This window comes from Homo sapiens, chromosome 7 (genome assembly GCF_000001405.40).
Source record: "Homo sapiens chromosome 7, GRCh38.p14 Primary Assembly".
NCBI lineage: Eukaryota > Metazoa > Chordata > Mammalia > Primates > Hominidae > Homo > Homo sapiens.
The window spans coordinates 132,411,139-132,429,173 of NC_000007.14; the positions used below are offsets into that span (position 1 = coordinate 132,411,139).

At 47.6% G+C, this 18,035-nt stretch overlaps 1 protein-coding gene across 10 annotated transcripts in view, besides 2 other annotated features; it reads right to left on the bottom strand.

Annotated features, from left to right (window-relative positions):
- The window catches only part of PLXNA4 (plexin A4), a 525,349-nt gene that overhangs the window by 287,799 nt on the left and 219,515 nt on the right, over nt 1-18,035 (bottom strand). The window lies entirely within an intron of this gene.
- Nucleotides 173-373: a silencer, noted in NCBI's record as "fragment chr7:132096070-132096270 (GRCh37/hg19 assembly coordinates)". NCBI's record gives its function as "represses an EF-1alpha promoter that drives an FKBP-Casp9 reporter gene in an ReSE screen in phorbol 12-myristate 13-acetate-treated (for megakaryocytic differentiation) K562 erythroleukemia cells {active_cell/tissue: K562(+PMA)}" and the evidence as "EXISTENCE:reporter gene assay evidence [ECO:0000049][PMID:32094911]".
- Nucleotides 14,558-15,255: an enhancer, noted in NCBI's record as "H3K4me1 hESC enhancer chr7:132110455-132111152 (GRCh37/hg19 assembly coordinates)". NCBI's record gives its function as "activates a minimal SCP1, AML or CMV promoter by ChIP-STARR-seq in naive H9 embryonic stem cells {active_cell/tissue: H9 hESC(naive)}" and the evidence as "EXISTENCE:reporter gene assay evidence [ECO:0000049][PMID:30033119]".

Here is an 18,035-nt window from a genome sequence, read left to right on the forward strand (position 1 = left end):
GAGAAAGGGGGACATTTAACTTCTAATTAATGAGTTGCTCCATGTGTCCAAACAACTCTCCCATCTCTTCCCTCACTGCAGATGAAAGCCCAAGTTCTCTTGGAGCTGGGTGATTCTCTGTGCAGGTTACATTTCCCCAGACTCTGAACGGGTATCTTCCACCAATCAGATTGGGCTCTGGCACCTCGCCACCTGTTCGGGCTTCACCCTGGAATCCCTCATCAGCAGCCACTTCTGATGCGTAATTGACAAGACCATAGCTGATGAAGGGTATGTTACGGGCTTGGCTCTCACCATCAAATCTATTTTCAGTTGAAACTGCTTTGAATTTACTGACACCAAAGAGCCCAGAAGGTAAGAATGGGCTGTCATTGCCATTGTTACGATTGTGGCTGTTTTTGGAAACCTGGGTCTTTTCAACTTATCACAAGGCTTCAGCTAGGCCCTGATTTCAACTTCTGCCACCATCTGAGCACGAGCCTTCTGAGTCCAAATTCCCTGTATATGTTGATATCATCTCAGTAAACATTGAGGAACAAAGGACATGAAGAAATGAGTGTCAGTCCGTGTGAGGGAGAAGAAAAGGCCCAGAAATTCTGGCATCCCCAGTTCAAATTCCACTCTTCACCAACTTCACCTTGCATTTCCACACCACAGACTTCCCAGGAGCTTGGTCTCTCATTCACATCGATATTTATGCTTGGAATGTGAAGGATCCCAAATTCTACGTCCAATCACATGTTCACATCCCTGAATGCTCTGACCACCCCAGACATTTCTGAAATGGCTTAGCTCCTGCCTGCCCCTCCAAACTTGACCAATGCCCTCTGCCTCCCTTCATGAAGGTCTGTCCACAGGGAGCCTTTCTCAGGCCCTCAAAGGTGCCGAGTTTGTTCTCCACTTCACAACCCCCAGGTAGGACTGTGTCCTCGACTTAGAACACTCTTCCCCTCACCTCAGCTCCTCACATTCTTTAGGTCTCAGAGCAAACATTCCAGCCTTCCATTCTGAGTAGACCCCCAAAACTTGATTATCCTCTATTTCAAAACCCTACTTATTTATTTCAAAGCCCTGATAACTGTTTATTATTTTATTTATTTGTTTGGTTTTTGGCATATCTCCCCCTCCAGACCTCAGCTCCATCTGTTGAATGAATGAATGAAGTTGCTAGATGAAATGGTATGCCTACTATGCTCCAAGCATGCTTCCCATGCTGACGATACAACAGTCAAGAAGTCAGGTGCATTGCCCTCATGGAGCCGATCACCTTGCAGACAGCGACCTGCAGGAAACTGAAATCATAGGAGACTTGGGCAAAGACGAAGGGAGCAGGAAAGAGGCAGAAGGAAGGGAACAGCATCTCGTGAGCTGACAACGAAATCCTGTATAAATATCACACAAAAATCTATTAGTGTTACCAGCATAGAGGGCAATTGCTTTTTAATATAATAAGATCTTCCTTGGAGGCGATTATGAGGCAGTGATAAGGATCAGGTGACATGTTGAGGTTTGGCACAGATGGATTAATTTCTGTTTACATCTAGTTGTTGGCAGCATGGGGGAGTTCTTCGTTTTCAGGGAGGAGGTGGGAAAGAGGACCTCTGGGGAAAGCAGCCAAGACACAATTCTTGTAGGTGTTATTCCAGAGAGCTCACTGCTTGCTGTGGATCCCAGAGTGAACTGGAGAGAAAACCAGGGCCTGGAGCACCGGGGAGGGACCTCCATGCAGGACACGCTGGCCAAGCTTTGGAGGGACGACCCCTCTCCTTTCCTCCTAAACCTTGGGGTGCCATGACAGAGGTAAACTATTGCTGATGTGGAGGGATTAGTGACTAGGAAACAAAGATCTGAGGTCTTTAGAAACAAAGTCACTTGATAGATGGGGGGTGGAGAGAGAAGGAAGGAGGAAAATGGAAAAGAAGGCATGCTGTTCTTATACAGTTCATTCCCGACACTGTCTCAAGCATTAACACTCTCATTACTAGATACTATTCTTCCCTGAGTGTTACACAGAGGTAAACTGAGGCCTGGGCAAGTCCAGGACAGACCCAATCGTACTGGAACAGAGTCTGCCTCCGGACTCGCTGCACAGGCACACAGCAAAGCCTGGAAGCAACTCTGAAGATTTCCTCGATGGGGTCTTTCCTTCCTTCCCTGGAGCAGCCCAGGGGTTTGCTTCACTGGCTGGGCCTCCTGTCTCCAGTAACTCCTGGAGTGAACACCAAAGTCCCCCAGCATCAAGACAGGGGCACACAACCAGGACAACTCTGACCCTGGAGCCAGGGGGCTGTTTATTCCACCATGTGGCTGCTTTTTCCAACATGTGACAGATGTCACGATTATTCTGCCACCAAAGAGGCACCCTCTGCCACTCCCCTAAAGCACCAACCCCAACAGACATGGCCTCAACCTAAACCCAACTCAGAGCAAAACACAATGGAAAACACACCTAAGCAATTCAATGGTGCCTTACAAATGGAGTTACTCCACGGTTCTGGTTGCCTGAAACTGCTGGTTTATGTGTGTGGCCCAGGCAAAATATTAGCAATGCCCTCTTTTACTTTTTAAAACTCTTCCAGTTTGGAAAATAAATTCCAGGGTCTTCCTACTTGTGATGTACCTGGAAACCCATATATTATGGAATCTACATAGAGATGATGCTATTTTAGAGTATATACACCCATGACCACTATACACTCCTCACTCCCAACCCCATATCAACCATCCAGTAAACAAAACTCTCAACACCCCATTCACAACATGTAGCCATCAAGCTGTGCTCACAAAAAAAGGTATGCACTCCGCCACCAGTCATACTCTTACACTGCTAGTCACTACACAAGTCTCCCAATCATGGCAGATAGAGCTATCTCTCTTCCACTATTCGGGCCTAGACACGACTACACATATCTCATAATTTGGGGGAGCACTGGGACATATGCACCCACTTGGACATCCATCCAAATCAGCCTTCAGGGATTTTAAATGGAAAAGCCCCGGTTGCTGTAATGGCTACAACCTTGTAAGGACATGAGTCCAAGTTCATTAAGAAGCTGGGTACAGATGAACCCTGTTGCTGTTGTGATTAATAATCATAATAGACAGTCAGCTGGAGGGCTTGCCAGCTGTGCCTTCCAGGTCCTGGTTCTGGGATCCCCTCTCATCCACCAGTGAGTAATGGTTTGGTTTATTGGAAACTCTCTTTTCATTTTTTATGGCTTCAATTAAGCGATGGGGAGAATCCATCATGTAACCTTTTTGCTGCACTGCTAAAGACTTCCGGAGGGGAAAATATTTATCAAACCCCAAACCATCAGAGGAGAGACTGCGGTAAACCTAACAGGAGACTGGGGTGGCAGAGAGGTGACCGAGATGGTAGGGAGGGGAGAAAAAAATATCCACACAGAGGTTTGATGCTTGGACAAGAGCCATACTCTCTGTAAAATATCTGCTTATTTCACAAATATCAGGCTACTCCTCACCTCACATCCCATAACCACAGAAAGTACTCCACTGATTATGAGGGTGGCTAATTAATCAGCCCCCAGTCCCCAGTCATGTGGATTCCTATAGCCCAACAGGTTCAAGGTGGCAAGAAGAACAGAGACACTGGCAAGAGGCGTACGTATCATGAGAGGCATAGGATGTGCTATGAGTTCCATGGAAACATGGCACCCACACGAAAACCTCCCACACACCTCATGGAACCCGCAATCCCTATATTGATAAGAATGCCAAAGGATCCATTTCCTAGTTGTAACTACAAATTCTTTCCAACGCCAAGGACAACAAATCCTCTCCCAAATCAATCCATTGGAATCCACAACCTCCTATCCTTGGCCCTACACAGGCCCCTACCCTTTCCCCGACCTCTACCAGGCAGCCCTGCTGGTAAGCAGAGCCGTCTCTTATTCTGCCCTTCAAAGTATTCACACCCTAATCTTGGCCACTGGCATTAATCTTTCATTTGCTATTTAGACATCTGATTCCTGGGGCAGGATTGAGAGATGTCCCTTGGGAGATCAAGTTGGCCAGAGGGGAGGTCCGAAGGGAGTTGGCGGCCTGCAGAGCAACAAGGGCCTGCCTGGAATTAATGGGGTCATCGCCCTGCTCCCCATCGCCCAAAGGAGGAGGAGCCACAGCCAGAAGACACAGATGTCTGAAGAAATGAGATTGCAGGTCTGTCTGCTTTATAAGACGTGTGTGTGTGCACGGGTATGTTCACATGTATGTGTGTGCGAGACCAGGGATATGGCCTCTCAGCTTGTGTCAGTGTAGCTGCTGTTAGGAGATTTGTATCTGCTCTGGTGCAGGGAACAGAGGTATCAGGAGAGCTGGGCAAACAGATAAGACTCAAATAAAAATGATACACATGTGGGCCCTGGGAGACGGTATTGTCTCCATATGCTAACTAGTAATACTACAGGTTAGATAGTCAGCCTGCAAAACATAACTCTAATAGGAGATAGATGGTGGAAATACACTTCCCTTTCTCCCTCTTTCTCCTCCTCACTCTCAGCTAACCTTTATCAACACAAAGTTCCAGGGACTGTGCCAAGTGTTCTTTATTAATTATTTTCATCAATACAGCAAACCCACAAGGTAGGACTATCAGTACCTGTATTTTACAGGTGAGGAAACTGAGGTCTGGATAGGTTAAGTAAACTGCCCAAGGTTCTGCAGCTAGTAAGTGGTCAAGGAGAATTCCAGCCAAAGAAGTTTCACTACAGATACCAAATTTAACCAATGATTTAGGAAGAAATGAACAGATAAGTTTGATATAGACTAGAGAGCACTGGGGAAAGAATAGATTATAGCTATGCTGTCTGATAACCAGCTACTCGTGGTTCTTTAAAATTAAATTAAATTTAAGTTAGGTAAAATTTAAAATCTAGTTCCTTAGTCATACTAGCCACATTTCAAGTGCTCAGTAGTCCCATGTGGCTGGTGGCCACCAGAATGACTAGTGCAGATATGAATATTGCCATTTTTACTGAAAATTCACTAGGTAACACTGGTTAGAGGATAAGGCTAGATGATGGCAAATAGAAACACTTTTCAGGATAACCAGCTGGAGGAAGGATGGCATTAACATGTGAGTTCTTCCCATCTAGAAAGGACAAGAAAAGGGTGAAGAGCAAAGAGGAGAACCTAGGGCAGCATGACATGGATCAATTGGTTGCTGTTATTAACAAGTGAGACTTCAAGAAATGCCACAGAAGGAAGGGGCCTTGGAGATTAGCATATTCAACCTCTTTTCATACATTACAATAAGGCCAGTGACAACTGGGGAGGCCAATGGCCCAGGTCACATAGCCAGTTATGTCGAAGGCTCTTCCCATCCCACCCAGCCTGTCATTCTGGGTTTTTCCCATCATCCTCATCCTTGATCCCTTCTGAGATGTGCACAGAAAATATCAGAGTACTCAGAGGTGATTTCCAACACGTCTTCACACTATTATGACTCCTGACAGGTAAATCACTAGCTGTATTGCTGCATCTTCCTTTCTTATAATGGCACAGGGCTGTCCAAGAATGAGACATTGAACATTTGTAAAATAGCAGCAATTGAAAAGATAAATGGCAAACCTGGAGTTTGGGAAGCAGCCCAGTAGGACTGTCTTCCTATTCAGTCTCAGTAAATACTTCTTGAATAAACCAATGGATGTTTGGCTGGATGGAAGAGTGGATGGATGACACCTAACAGTTCTTCAACCACTTTATGGACTAGTGCCCCATTCTCCCACCCCCATACTGTTCATCACAAACTCACAGTTGCTTCTCTACAAGCTACTAAAATGGAAAACATCTCAGCATGTGGAAAAATTCAACTGCATTTCAGATTCTAGTTAAAAAAAAAAAGTGACTATATCCTGCCATGCCTATATAAGTCCTGCAACGGAATGTTGCTGAATGCCTTCTTGTCTGCACTAGAAATTCACACTCTCTTAAGCTAAGTGTATGCCCACTCTACAGGGACTCCCGCTTCCCCCTGGCCTCAAAGATCATTACCTACCTCTTTGCGTGAGGCCAATCCATCCTCTTGACAGCTCACTTACCACGGACCAGGGCTGTGGGGGAGCCTCTGACAGCCAGAGATGAAATGGCAGAAAGGGCTCCTTGTCTGGACATTCTTGGGCATCTCCTACCCGCCACATTATTGTCACCATGGCCAAGTGTGATCCCTGTGTCATGAGGCCTGCGCTTAGGATTGGGGCTGCCTCCTCTGCTTCTTCCTAGACCCTTGCTTCGTGGTTGTTCCCTCAAACTACATATTCAGTCACTTAAATGACGCAATTGTTTTGAGACTCAGTGAAAAATCTCAGGATATAGACTTTGTCCAGTAGATAAGGAATGAGGTAATGCTTTAGTTCACAAATTCCTTGAGGGCAGAGATTTTATTTCTGTATCTTTTAAATCTGAATTCCCAGTGTACAGAAAAATGCCTTGCACAAAATAAATAAGCAATACAATAGATTAATGAATGAATGTATATATGTGTGTGAGGGAGAGAGAGAAGGAGAGAGAGAAAAAGACTGAAAAGGAGAGAGAGAGAGAAAGGGGGAGAGGTGGGGGAGGAGGGGAGAGGGAGAGACGGAGGGAGAGAGAAGGAGCAGGAGATCAACAAATGCCCAATCTGTTACTCTGGTTTCTGCCTGGGCTGCTGTTATTTCATCCCAGGAAAGCTGGTTTACTCTTTGGTCCGTGGGTCTCTGTTCTCTTTCTCTCTGGGCCCCCTATCTACCTCCTTAGTTTTGTGGGGAAATTGCTTTCTCTGCAACCACCTGGTCCTCTAAAGACTCTCTTCTTAGGTCACTTTGGTTTATTTGGACAAAACGCTTCTAATTCATTATTCCTCCTGTGGAAGACTTTTTGAGTTTATTTAGAACTAGCATTCTGGGCACTGAGTCTTAATGACCATCCACAGACAAGCACCTAGCCAACCAACCCCAGCTCTTTGCTGAGTCCTTCTAGACTCTTCTGCAGCTCTGGCACAAGCACTGCCCTTCTTGTTGCTGCTGTATGTTTTATCTTATTTTTTAAAAGAATGATTACACCCCTTTTCCAGGCTCTAAAGTGACCTGAACTCAGGAAAGGTTCTCCTCTCCATCCATCAAAGTTCATTCATCCCTCCCCCAAGTTTCTCCATGATTTCTACTCCAGTCCCTCAGACTCCAGTGGCAAATTCACCTCAAATTTTTGGAGTTGTGATTGCTCCTGTTTTCCACCATAATATCAGGATTGAAACTTTCTGCTGAACATAGTTCCTTGGCCTCCCAAAACTTTCCAGATCAAGATGGATCCAGCCCAGCTTAGCTCTCAAGTCCTAGAATCCCCTGCTCAGACAAAGCATATCACATCCTAATGCTCTGTGTGGAGGGATGCCTATTGTTAATGTCTTTGAGAACATGAAGCTTGGCTAAGAACTGGTTCACAAACTCACTGCTTGAAATTCAACAGGCATCCTGGGCACCGCCTGGAGAAAGGAAGAGGAAAGCAGGGAGCTCTGCTCAGATTCCATCTCTAAGACCAAGGCAGAGGCTTTGTAGAAATCAATGGTTTTCCTTCCATTGCAAAGGGGGCAACTGGCAGTGACGAGCAGAAGGGTGGAGCAGGGGGTGTGGGAAGAAGAACAAAGAGTAAGCAGGAGGGGAAGAAGTGAGAGGCAGAGGGTGTAACCATGCTCCCATCCTCTACAGATTCTTCCCCTTCACTTCCTCCAGGCCTGGATTCACTTTCTTTTTTAATGGCTGGGGCCAGTGATTTGTTCCCATCGATCACTATTGATGTTTTTCAATTGTATCCGTGACACTTTTGGCAATATGTTTGTAAACACAGAGCCTTCTGGGATCTCACTTCTTGTCACCACGTACAGGCACCGTCTCCTTGTCACTGAGTATTAGCTGTCAATCAAAGGGTTGGGAAGGGAGCTCTGTGTCCTTGGTCCTGGGACTTGCTTCTTTTTGTCTTTCTGCCTGGAAGTGAACATTCCTCATTCATTCCCAGAGGGAAAATGGAAACCTTCCTCTTTAAGTGGGAGAAAATTGGGCGAGAACAAGGAAAGGTTTCTACCTGGGGCCAGGCATCGTGTCCTGGGCAGAGGAAACCACAGTTCTTCTGGGGAGAAAAATGCAGCAGAGAATCTTGTACCCACCAGTTTAGCTTGGATCTGGGCTGCAGGAGCAGAGAACTGCTCCCTTGACCACAGGTAGCTGAGCAGCCTGCATCCAAATTTCATCCCAGATAACTGGGTGAACAACTAGAAATTTCCTGGGTTCACCTAGACAAGGAGCTTTCCAACTTTTTTGATCAAGACCCATAAGTAAGATAAATAATTCAGCTCATGACTGAGAATACACATACATGCTTAATTGAAATAAAAGTTAAAGGAAATAAGAAAATATTTAAGGAGAAACACAGCCTTACAACAAGTGATACACTCTGATAGTTTCTGTCCATTCTTCTGTTTTTCTTTTTTGAATTCTGGTCATGTTCCATTAAGTTGATTCATGACTGCCTGCTGTGACCCACAGTTTGAAAAAATACTGGACTAGACCAAGGGTCAGCAAACTTTTCTGTAAAGGCCAGATAAGAAATATTCTCAGCTTTGCAGGCCATATGGTCTCTGTCACAACCACTCAACATTTCCGTTGCAGCATGACAGCTGCCACAGACAATACATAAACAAATGAATGTGGCTGTGTTCCAACACAACTTTACTTATGTACAGTAAAATTCAAACTTCATGTCACTTTCATGGGCTATGACATAGCCTTCTTTTTTTTTTAAATCATTAAATACGGAAAAAAAATCCTTAGCTTATGGGCTGTACAAAATCAGAGGTGATCTGGATTTGGCCTGGGAGCCAGAGTTTGTCACCCTCTAGACCACACCACATCAACCAACGCTTGCAGCATGTTGCCAGTCCTTCTCTTCAAGGCTTCTGGCATCTACAAATAGGTGGGAGTGAGGGGATCCCCACCAACCTCTTCCACACCTGCCCACGAGTCAAGGTCAAGTCCACATTGCTCCTGTGCCTCTGTATTAGAGCATGAATTCTAATGTATTTAATTGATGGTCTCTGTTCCCCTGAACTGTGTCCTCCAAGAGGATGCACTTCTTGTATCACACGTTTCTCACTCTGCCTTGAAATGTCTCTTTGCTTGTCTACCCATGGGACTGTGATCCAGTAGATTCCTGAGCTGCTGGTCCAGGGGACAGCAAGAGAGCCTCTGCCCTTTCTAATACTTTTCTTGGCTCATGCATAGAATCTATGGCTGGGCTCATCCTCTGGTGCTCCTTGGTACCTAGCCTCAGGCTCCAGCCTCCACAGCCTCCTCAGCTAACTAAAGCCACAGGGCTCCCACCTGCCCCACAGGTGCCTCTGCACAACAAAAAGTTCTTTGCCTTTAAGCACCTGAATAGGAAGAAGAACACTCAGTTCTTTTCAAATTTACATTTTAACAATTTTTTTAAGTGTAGAGTTAAGTGGTGTTAAGAACATTCCCATTGTTGTGCAACCATCACCACTGATATGGTTTGGCTGTGTCCCCACTCAAATCTCATCTTGAATTCCCATGTTTTGTGGGAGGGACCCAGTGTGAGGTAATTGCATCATGGGGGCAAGTCTTTCCTCTGCTGTTCTCGTGACAGTGAATGAGTCTCACGAGATCTGATGGTTTTAAAAACAGGAGTTTCCCTGCATGCACTCTCTTCTCTTCTCTTGTCTGCCACCATGTGAGATGTGCCTTTCACCTTCCTTCCACCATGATTTTGAGGTCTCCCCAGCCATGTGGAACTGTAAGTCCAATAAACCTCTTTCTTTTGTAAATTGCCCAGTCTCAGGTATGTCTTTATCAGCAGTGTGAAAATGGACTAACACAACTGCCATCCATCTTCAGAACTTTTTCATCTTCCCAAACTAAAACTCTGTCCCTGCTAAACTCTATGATCCTATTCCCCTGTCCCCCAGCTCTTGGCAACTACCATTTTACTTTCTGTCTTTATGAATTTGACTACTCCAGGTACTTTATGTAGGTGGAATCATACAGCATTTGTCCTTTTGTGTCTGGCTTATTTCACTTAAACCTCATGTTTTCGAGGTTCATCTACATTGTAGCATGTGTCAGAATGTCCTTCTTTTTAAAGGCTAAATAAGAGAACACTCACTTTTAAAAGGTGGTTCCCAAATTGCCCTAGAATGTAAGAGGAGTTTTAACATATGACATTGACAACAAACTCTCTTCATCTCTTCCCCAACAATACCAAGGATGGATCTCACTCCATCTTCTTATCATCACTCTGCCCCTAGAAAATTCCCCCGTTCTGCTCACCCTCTCTGTCTTCTCTACTATGGTGTCAGGGCAACCGAGTGGGCTTTATTTATGGCTGACATCCCTGAATTTAAATCTTAGCTGCTTCTTTACTTTATTGCTAAAGTTTTTTTTTTTTACCACAGCTTCAGTTACAAAACAAAAATAACTACCTTCTATATAATGACTGTTGTGAAGAAGAAATAAGATGAAAGATACAAAATATCAAACACAAAACTTACAACTTAGTGCTCAAAATGGTAATTATTATTATTATCCCAATTAATAATGTTTTCCAGGGTCACAGTCTGGTCCTAGTATCCCAAATAAACCCTAGAGATCCCCAAGAGCATCCCAGAACCTCTTTTTTGAGACACCAATTTAGTTACCAAGAGTATCGCAGTGGGAACCCCAGCTTAGAACTGAGATGTCAAATACATCACTGCTTCGCTGCAACCCTGGGCAAGCCAATGTCTTTCTGTATTCTTCACCCTCCTTGGCTGTGAAATAGATCAAATGATGCTTCTAAAATTCTCCCAACAATGAGGTAATGTCTTCAAAGTGCCCTGAGCCTTTCACAGGGAAGTCGTTGTCAAATAGACACCTGTAGTCACAGAAAAACGGTTATACTCTGGGAATGATTTGCTCAGTTGGTTACCGAATGGTCTGAGTCTATGCCTTATGCAAGCCCCACCCTAGGAGCTGGAAAACAAGGGTGAACATGTGAGCCCAGCACCCTCCTTCACCCTGTATGGCTCTGCATGGATGGGATGCAAAGAATCTGACTTCCTGCAGAACAATGGGTGCCTTACCCAGACAGAACTGATCTCTCACCTCAGAGAGCAAGAGGGGAGAAGATGAACATCTATTTGGGATCTACTGGGTCCCTCCAGATTTTCTACAGCCACAACGGCATTTAATTCTTCCCATGTATGTGCACACACAGAGAAGCACGGAAGGATATGCAACTTACCCAAAGTCACACAGCTGGTGCATCATTAAAGCTGAGATCAAAAGTACGGCTGCCGACTTCCAAAATCCATGAATGTGCCACCCTTCCAAGCAGCCATGCTAATAGGGGCCATCGTAATTGTCCAGCAGTAATTCATCCAGAGACAGATTCGTGTTGGCCATATCTAATGGCCTGGCTCTCGGTCCCCTTCTGTCTCCTTTATGACTCAAGCTAATTCACGATGTGCTTAGTCAGATGTCCAGTTGCCAGTTTATTGTCTATTAGGTTTGCAGAGGGAAGGGAAGTAACATTTGCTGAGCACTTTCCAAGGCCCAGGCCCTGTTCCAGGAGCTCCTGGCCATACATAATCTCTCTTAATCCTCATAATATCCCTATAAAGGGGGTATTATTACCCCACTGGGCAGAGGATCATAAAGATTAAGTAACTCTGGATAACCCCAGAAGATGGACAAACGTGCTGGCCTAGCACCTCGGGAAACCTCTGAAAGCGAGATCTGCCAAGCAAAGCCTCCCACAGCCGAGGGAGCCAGGCTTCTCCACCTCATCAGAGGCAGAGAGTCAAGGGAGAGCAGAATGGATGGTGTGGCAGGTTCTGATTAAGAACATTCATCATCCCTGCCCCGCTAGCCCCTTGGGGTGGCATGGAATTCGTTACACGACTCCTGAACCGTGTTCATCCTCTCCAGCCTCCTCCTGTGCGAACACCGTGGAATTAGCCAGGAGGGGTAGCAAAGAAATCAGATCTGCCCTGCGGAGGCTCTGCATTCCCAGCACTGTGCTGGGTACTTTGCATTGCTCATCTTTCACTTTTACATCAATCAGATTTAGTCCATATTTCTATTTTGCACAATTCATGTTATTATTTCATTTAACTTTTCCCAACCTGCCAAAGCTTACGTAGTGAAGGGACGCTCCCAAGTCCACTCAGCTGGGAAGTGGAAAGCTAGGATCTAGGCCCTGTTCTGTCCTCCCTCAGGGCTCCAAACAATCTGTCACACTGCAGCAGAGAGAATGAAGGGGTTTCCCTCTTCCCATTTTGCTGATGGATAAACTGAGTCTGAGAGCAGGAAGTTGCAGAGAGCTGCAGAGATTTGGGGCCAGAATATCAGTCACATGTATGCCCATCCAGCTTTTCTAGAGATGGTCATGAAGCCAAAGAGGGGAAGTGACATCCTTAATAAAAGCTCATTTCAGCAAAAAAGCTGAGGAATCTGTTTAATTGATCATCACTCCTCCCTTCCACAACAGCACAGGGTTTTAAATGGGACTGGGCTCCCTGTCTGGAATTCTACTCCTCCCTGAAATGATCCGATAACAACAGAGCTGATTGTGACTGGTCCTCCCTCCCCTTCTCTCTCCTGCAGAATGTTTTTCTTCATCCCTGTTTTGTGTCTTCGTAATTGCGTTACTCACATAGCAACACATGGGGATGGCCACACTACAGCCACCACCATCGGGGCCACAAGGAGAAAGCAACAGCATTCTAGGAGAACGCACCACTCCCCATCAGGCCCCCTTGAACCAGGCGGGGCTGCATGGAGGTCAATGCCTCTCAGGGCTGCCCTCCCCTCTGGATCAGCTCCCAGAACATGCCCTTTGCCTCTAACCACGAGCAGGGGTCACCTGAGGCCCTTGATTCTAGCCCCACTTTAGCTTTCCCACAGAGAAGGCTGAGACGTTGAAAGGCATGAGCCCACGCCTCCTCCTCGCCAGGGTCTCAGTGACTCCCCAGCCCCAGGAAGAGGAGCAGGGAGCCCCTCACCCAACATCAGGCCCATGTCTTGGAAACGCAGGGGTTGTGGATTCACATGCTGGTGCTGCTGGTCTGCCCCCCGCTCCCTGGCCTGGGTTTTGCTCCATCTCTGAGCAACTTTTGGAAAAGAGGCAGATCTAGGAAATCCATACCAAGTCCCAATATACTCTATGGCTGAAGGGGCTGAGGAGGGAGCTCAGCTGGAGAGCCCTGGCCCAGGCCCACAAGACAGTAGAGGGGGCACTGCTCCTTGTGGACGTCCAACCAGGCTGATGTCGTCTTCATCCTTCTGTAGGGACCAAAATCTTGGTGGAACCCCCACCCTTCCTGGCAAGTCAGGAGGTCAGTAGAACCCCCCAGGCCAGCATTCCTTTCCCAGCCTCATTCCTGCCCAGGGCTCCCTGTGACCTGCCCCTCCCCCATGTGAGGACACTATACACCCTGGATACTGTCCCCTTTCCATTCCATTTGTAATTGTCCCTGGCAGAAACAGCCTCCCTCAAATGGTGAATTCTCACATAAATGTTTGGGGTGATGCATATCCCAGTTACCCAGATCTGATGGTTACACATTACATACATGTACCAAAACATCACATTATATAATCAATAACAATTTTATACATAAATAAATAGGAAAAAAACGAGGTTCTGCTAGCGTGTGGTTTGGCAGCTGTCAAATCTTGTGCTAGAGCCGAGTCCTGACCATGGTGTGCCCTCCACGCATCGTCCAGCTCACCCATCCTCCCAGGAAGGCCACCCCTCTGCTGGGTGTCAGCATCACGGCACCTGGGTGGGTGAGCCGCTCACTGCCCCGCCCTACCCCAGCTGCCCTCTCTAGCCCCACTGTGCCACGTCCCCTTGGCAAGGCCACTGTCTGGAGTCTGGAACACAGAAAACCATTCCTGGACCCTCCGCACTGCCAAGTCTGTAAAAGAGCAGGCGCCTAGCCTCTCTCCTTGGAGGCTCAGGCCATGTCAATCTCTTCTACGTCTCCCTAGTGCCAAGATAATAAGGGGGAAAGTTTTTTTCTCCTCCTTCCAGAGTGCAGACCAATTAGCATTTTTTAAATTACCATTGGAGAAATACACCTAATTAGCCACTTTAAAGGAAAGCTTTAAAAAAAAAAGTCATAAATTTCTAACTGGCCACAGCTTGGAGACACTTTTAAAGCTAATTGTGTGTTTCTGGCACTGACAGGGGAATTGGTGAAAGTAAGAGACCGATTTTATGACCTTGGTGGGAAAGGGGAGGGGAAGGCTGAATGACGTCCTTAGGCCAAGAAAGGGTTAATGTCTGTCTCCCGGAACCCCAGGCCCCTCCTGGCTCCTCCTCCCCTTCCTCACCCTCCCTCATCAGATCCCCACCTCTCCCCACCTTGAGCCCTGCCTTACCCCAGTCAGGGGTACCTGCCTTAGAAGAGGCAGACAGGAAGGCAGACAGGCAGGCAGGCAGACAGGGCCACACACTCAGCCAGAAAATCATACAAGGAGGAAGAAAAGGGCAGAGGACAAAGAGAGAGGAGAAGGACAGGGGAAACAGAGAAGAAAGAAACATTTGAGGAAACTGAGAGAAAGGAACCAAAGCCAAATTCCAGAAGGCTGTTTCTCATTTGTGCTTCCTATTAAACTCTCCATCGAGGTGGGGGCGGGAGCTGGGGGCTCTGGCCTGCTCTTGAACATGGTGCCTCCCTCAGACAGTTCCAGTGGAGGCAGACAGGGGCTTCTGCAGCCCTCGGGCCTCCTGCCCAGGCTCCCTGACCCTGCTCAGTGGCCCCAACTCCCTGTCCCTGAAACTGAGAAAACTCTTCATAAAGTGCAGGCACAGGACTCTGGGGTGCCTCATTTAGGAGGAAGGTGGCACAGGGCAGTTTCTGGTTGCTCCCAGCCTCTGCCACTGCTGTGGATTCATTCCTGCCTCAGAAAAGGGGAAAGAGGGCCTCTCCCAGGGGGAGATCAGTGTACAACTGGAGGAGTGTCAAGAAGTGCGGCCAAGCAAGAGAAGATGCCCAGAGCAACTGCACAGGGCCTCCATCATCCTGCAGAGCCCACCGCCATGGCTCATCAGCCCTTCAATGGCCCCCGGTGATGACCCAGTAGAGCGGCTAAGGTGATGGGGGTGGGGGTCCTCTCCCTCAGGAACACCCCTCCACTGGCTGGGTTGCCGGGCAGGAGTTAGGGTAGGAACAGGACAGTATAGATGTATTGTCTCCACCTCTGTCTGAGGCACACAGTGTGACCAGCGCTGTCATGTCTGCCCAACCCTAGCTCAGTGTCATGCCCACCTGACACTAGGTGTGGCCTCCCTGTTGGTTGAAGGGGCAGCAGCAGGTGTTTGCATTCTATACATGGAAACTTAGAGGCCCAGAAACACTGAGGCAAATTTGCTCTAGTAGCAGATTTAGTACCATCTAAAGTCCTGGGAGGCACATTCTTCATTCACTGAGACCCTCCTTTCTATAGCTTAAGTGAGAGTCTGGAGAAATTACAGACAGTTTCAAAACATATAGTCTTCTGGAAAGCCCAGAACATGCATTCTCAATGGGTACAAGAGTGCTCCCCAGAGGGTGAAAATTAGAGGGCAAAAGAAAAAAAAATCTTAGATATAATGATTTGTGGCCCTCCAAAGGTCAACATTACTCAATAAATTCACATGTCGTCTCATTAAAGAGAATTTAAATTAAATTTAACTTGTCTCTAAGGGGGAAAAGGTGATTTTTAAAAAGCTGAGAAATGCTGACCTAGGGCAGTAGCCCCTAGAGTCCTAGAGTCCCACAGGCCAGAGCTGGATCCACTCACCTGTACCCCCTTGGGACCAAGCTCAGCATATGAAACAAGAAATGGGGCCCAGGAGGGGATTCTTCCCCAGAACTAGTCAGTGACTCCTACTGAAGACACTCACAAACTTTAAAAGTGGTGGGAGACTTGAGCAACCTAGCAGGGCAACTGGGTAAGACACTGCAATGCTGTCTCTTCTGCCAGGGCAGAGGGAAGAGCTTCTGGGAGACAAAAGACCTTGGGGCCTCTTCCTGCTCCTCACCCCAGACCTTAAAGCCTTCAGAGAAATGGCGCACTGGACGTCTGAGCTCCAGGAGGTTGACTGAGGGCAGGATTGGAGTGCAGGGCTGGAAGGATTCATGACCTTAAAAACAGCCAGGGGAGCTGGGGTGCCCCAAGTAGAAGACTAGGGTCTACAGCGCCCCATCAGAGCCCCTCACACTCTTCCTTTTTTCCTCCCCTCTCTGGTTCCAGAGGCTGGGAAAGAGGGAAGAGAAATAACTACACAGCAGAATGGACAGGCCCCCACCCACCCAGTCATAAACTCATGGGTGACAATTGTGGGGGCCCTCACCTCCACCCCTAAAAGAATTGAACCTGGGCTAGCTCCTCTAAGCGAGTAGTACAGCTTTCAGCCTAACAAGTATCCATCTTTACTGGCAGCTTCAGGGGCTGGTGGAAAGAGCTCTGGGGTCAGACCTGCTGGGCTTTGCACACCAGCAAGTCATGGTCTGACTGTCCCTGTGATCTTGGAGAGTCTGGTTCTTGGGAAGGGGCTCTGACTTACCCTATTCTCCTGCCCGATGCCTTCTCTAGAACCCATCATGCACTACGTGCTTCATACATGCTTGCAGAATCCAATGTGATCCTTCCTTTGCAAATGTTTTTGCAAAAGGAAAATGGAAGTGACCATCTCCCCGCCTCAGGGGGTTGTTGGGAATGTTAAAGAGATGGTGCGGACATGCAGGGAGAACGTGTGCATAACAGGCAAGGTGGGCATCCCCTCCACATCCCCTCTCCTCTCCCCTTGCTAGAAAACCCATATGCTTCTGCAAAGCAGGTGAGACGAGGCATGGGGGAGGGGAGGACATCGGCACAGACAGGGAAACCAAGGGACACTGCAGGAAAGCCTCCAGGTGACATGGGAGGCCCCATGTACCCCAAGTGCCCTGCATGAGCTGCCTTCTGCCTGCCCCCACCAGAGAACCCTGCAGTGAAGGGACAAATTCCTAATAGCGGGGACGTCCCAGGAGGGTCCCTTTCCTGGGGCTCTGGCCCAAAGAGCCAGCACCTTTGATGCTTTCCCAAAGATCTCATAGCAGGGACCCCATTCTACCCACTCAGGCTGAAATCAGTGGGAAGTCCCTATGCTCTCCCCATCTGGCTCTCCCTAGCTTTCTGGGGGTGATGGATGGCTCAAGAGTTGCAATTTTTGTTCTGTTAAGAAAGCACAAACAATCCGATGCCAGGAGGCGAGGACCTTGCTCCCTGTTGGCGCCTGGTGCAATCCCCAGGGAGCTCTACCAGTGTCAGCAGAGAAAGGGAAAACAGCTGGGTCTCTAGGGCCCGAGAGCAGGCGGGAGATTTATTATTTTGGGGTGATTAAACCGAAGCTTCCAACACCTCAGTGAGTGTTTCCTTCTTGCTACCCCTGCTACTCAGACACAGGAACCGTATGGGGCAGCCTGGCTCCCGGTGGTCCCCTCTGTCCCGGTCCTTGAGACCACTGCCAAGACACTGCCTCCATCAGACGGCCAAGCTCTGGCCAGCCTCCAGGTCCTCGCCTACCTCCCACTCCATTCCCTGTCTGCAATTGTTTCCAATCAGTTTAGGAAACAGCTCTGAGAACAATTAGAAAAGATAACGAGGAAGAATTACATAATTACAGTTCTCCTAGATCTCAGGCACTTCAGGGGAAAAGAAAAAGGCTGAACTGAGTCCAAACAGGGACCAATGTGAGGAAAAGATGGTACTTCTGGAAAGCTTTCGGGGTGCAAGGGCTTAGACCCTGAAGGAGAGTGGGAAGGACAAAGGCACTCCTATGTCTGCCTGCTGGTCAGCTGGGGGCTGCCTCCAGCTCAGGGCCTCAAAGGACGGCTCAGAAAGTCCTCATGCAATGCAGACCTCTCTGTGGAATAGCCATGTAGACTACAGAACCACGTCCCCCTTCAAGATCATGCAGCCCAAACTTCTCATTGTCAAGATGAGAAAGACCAAGAG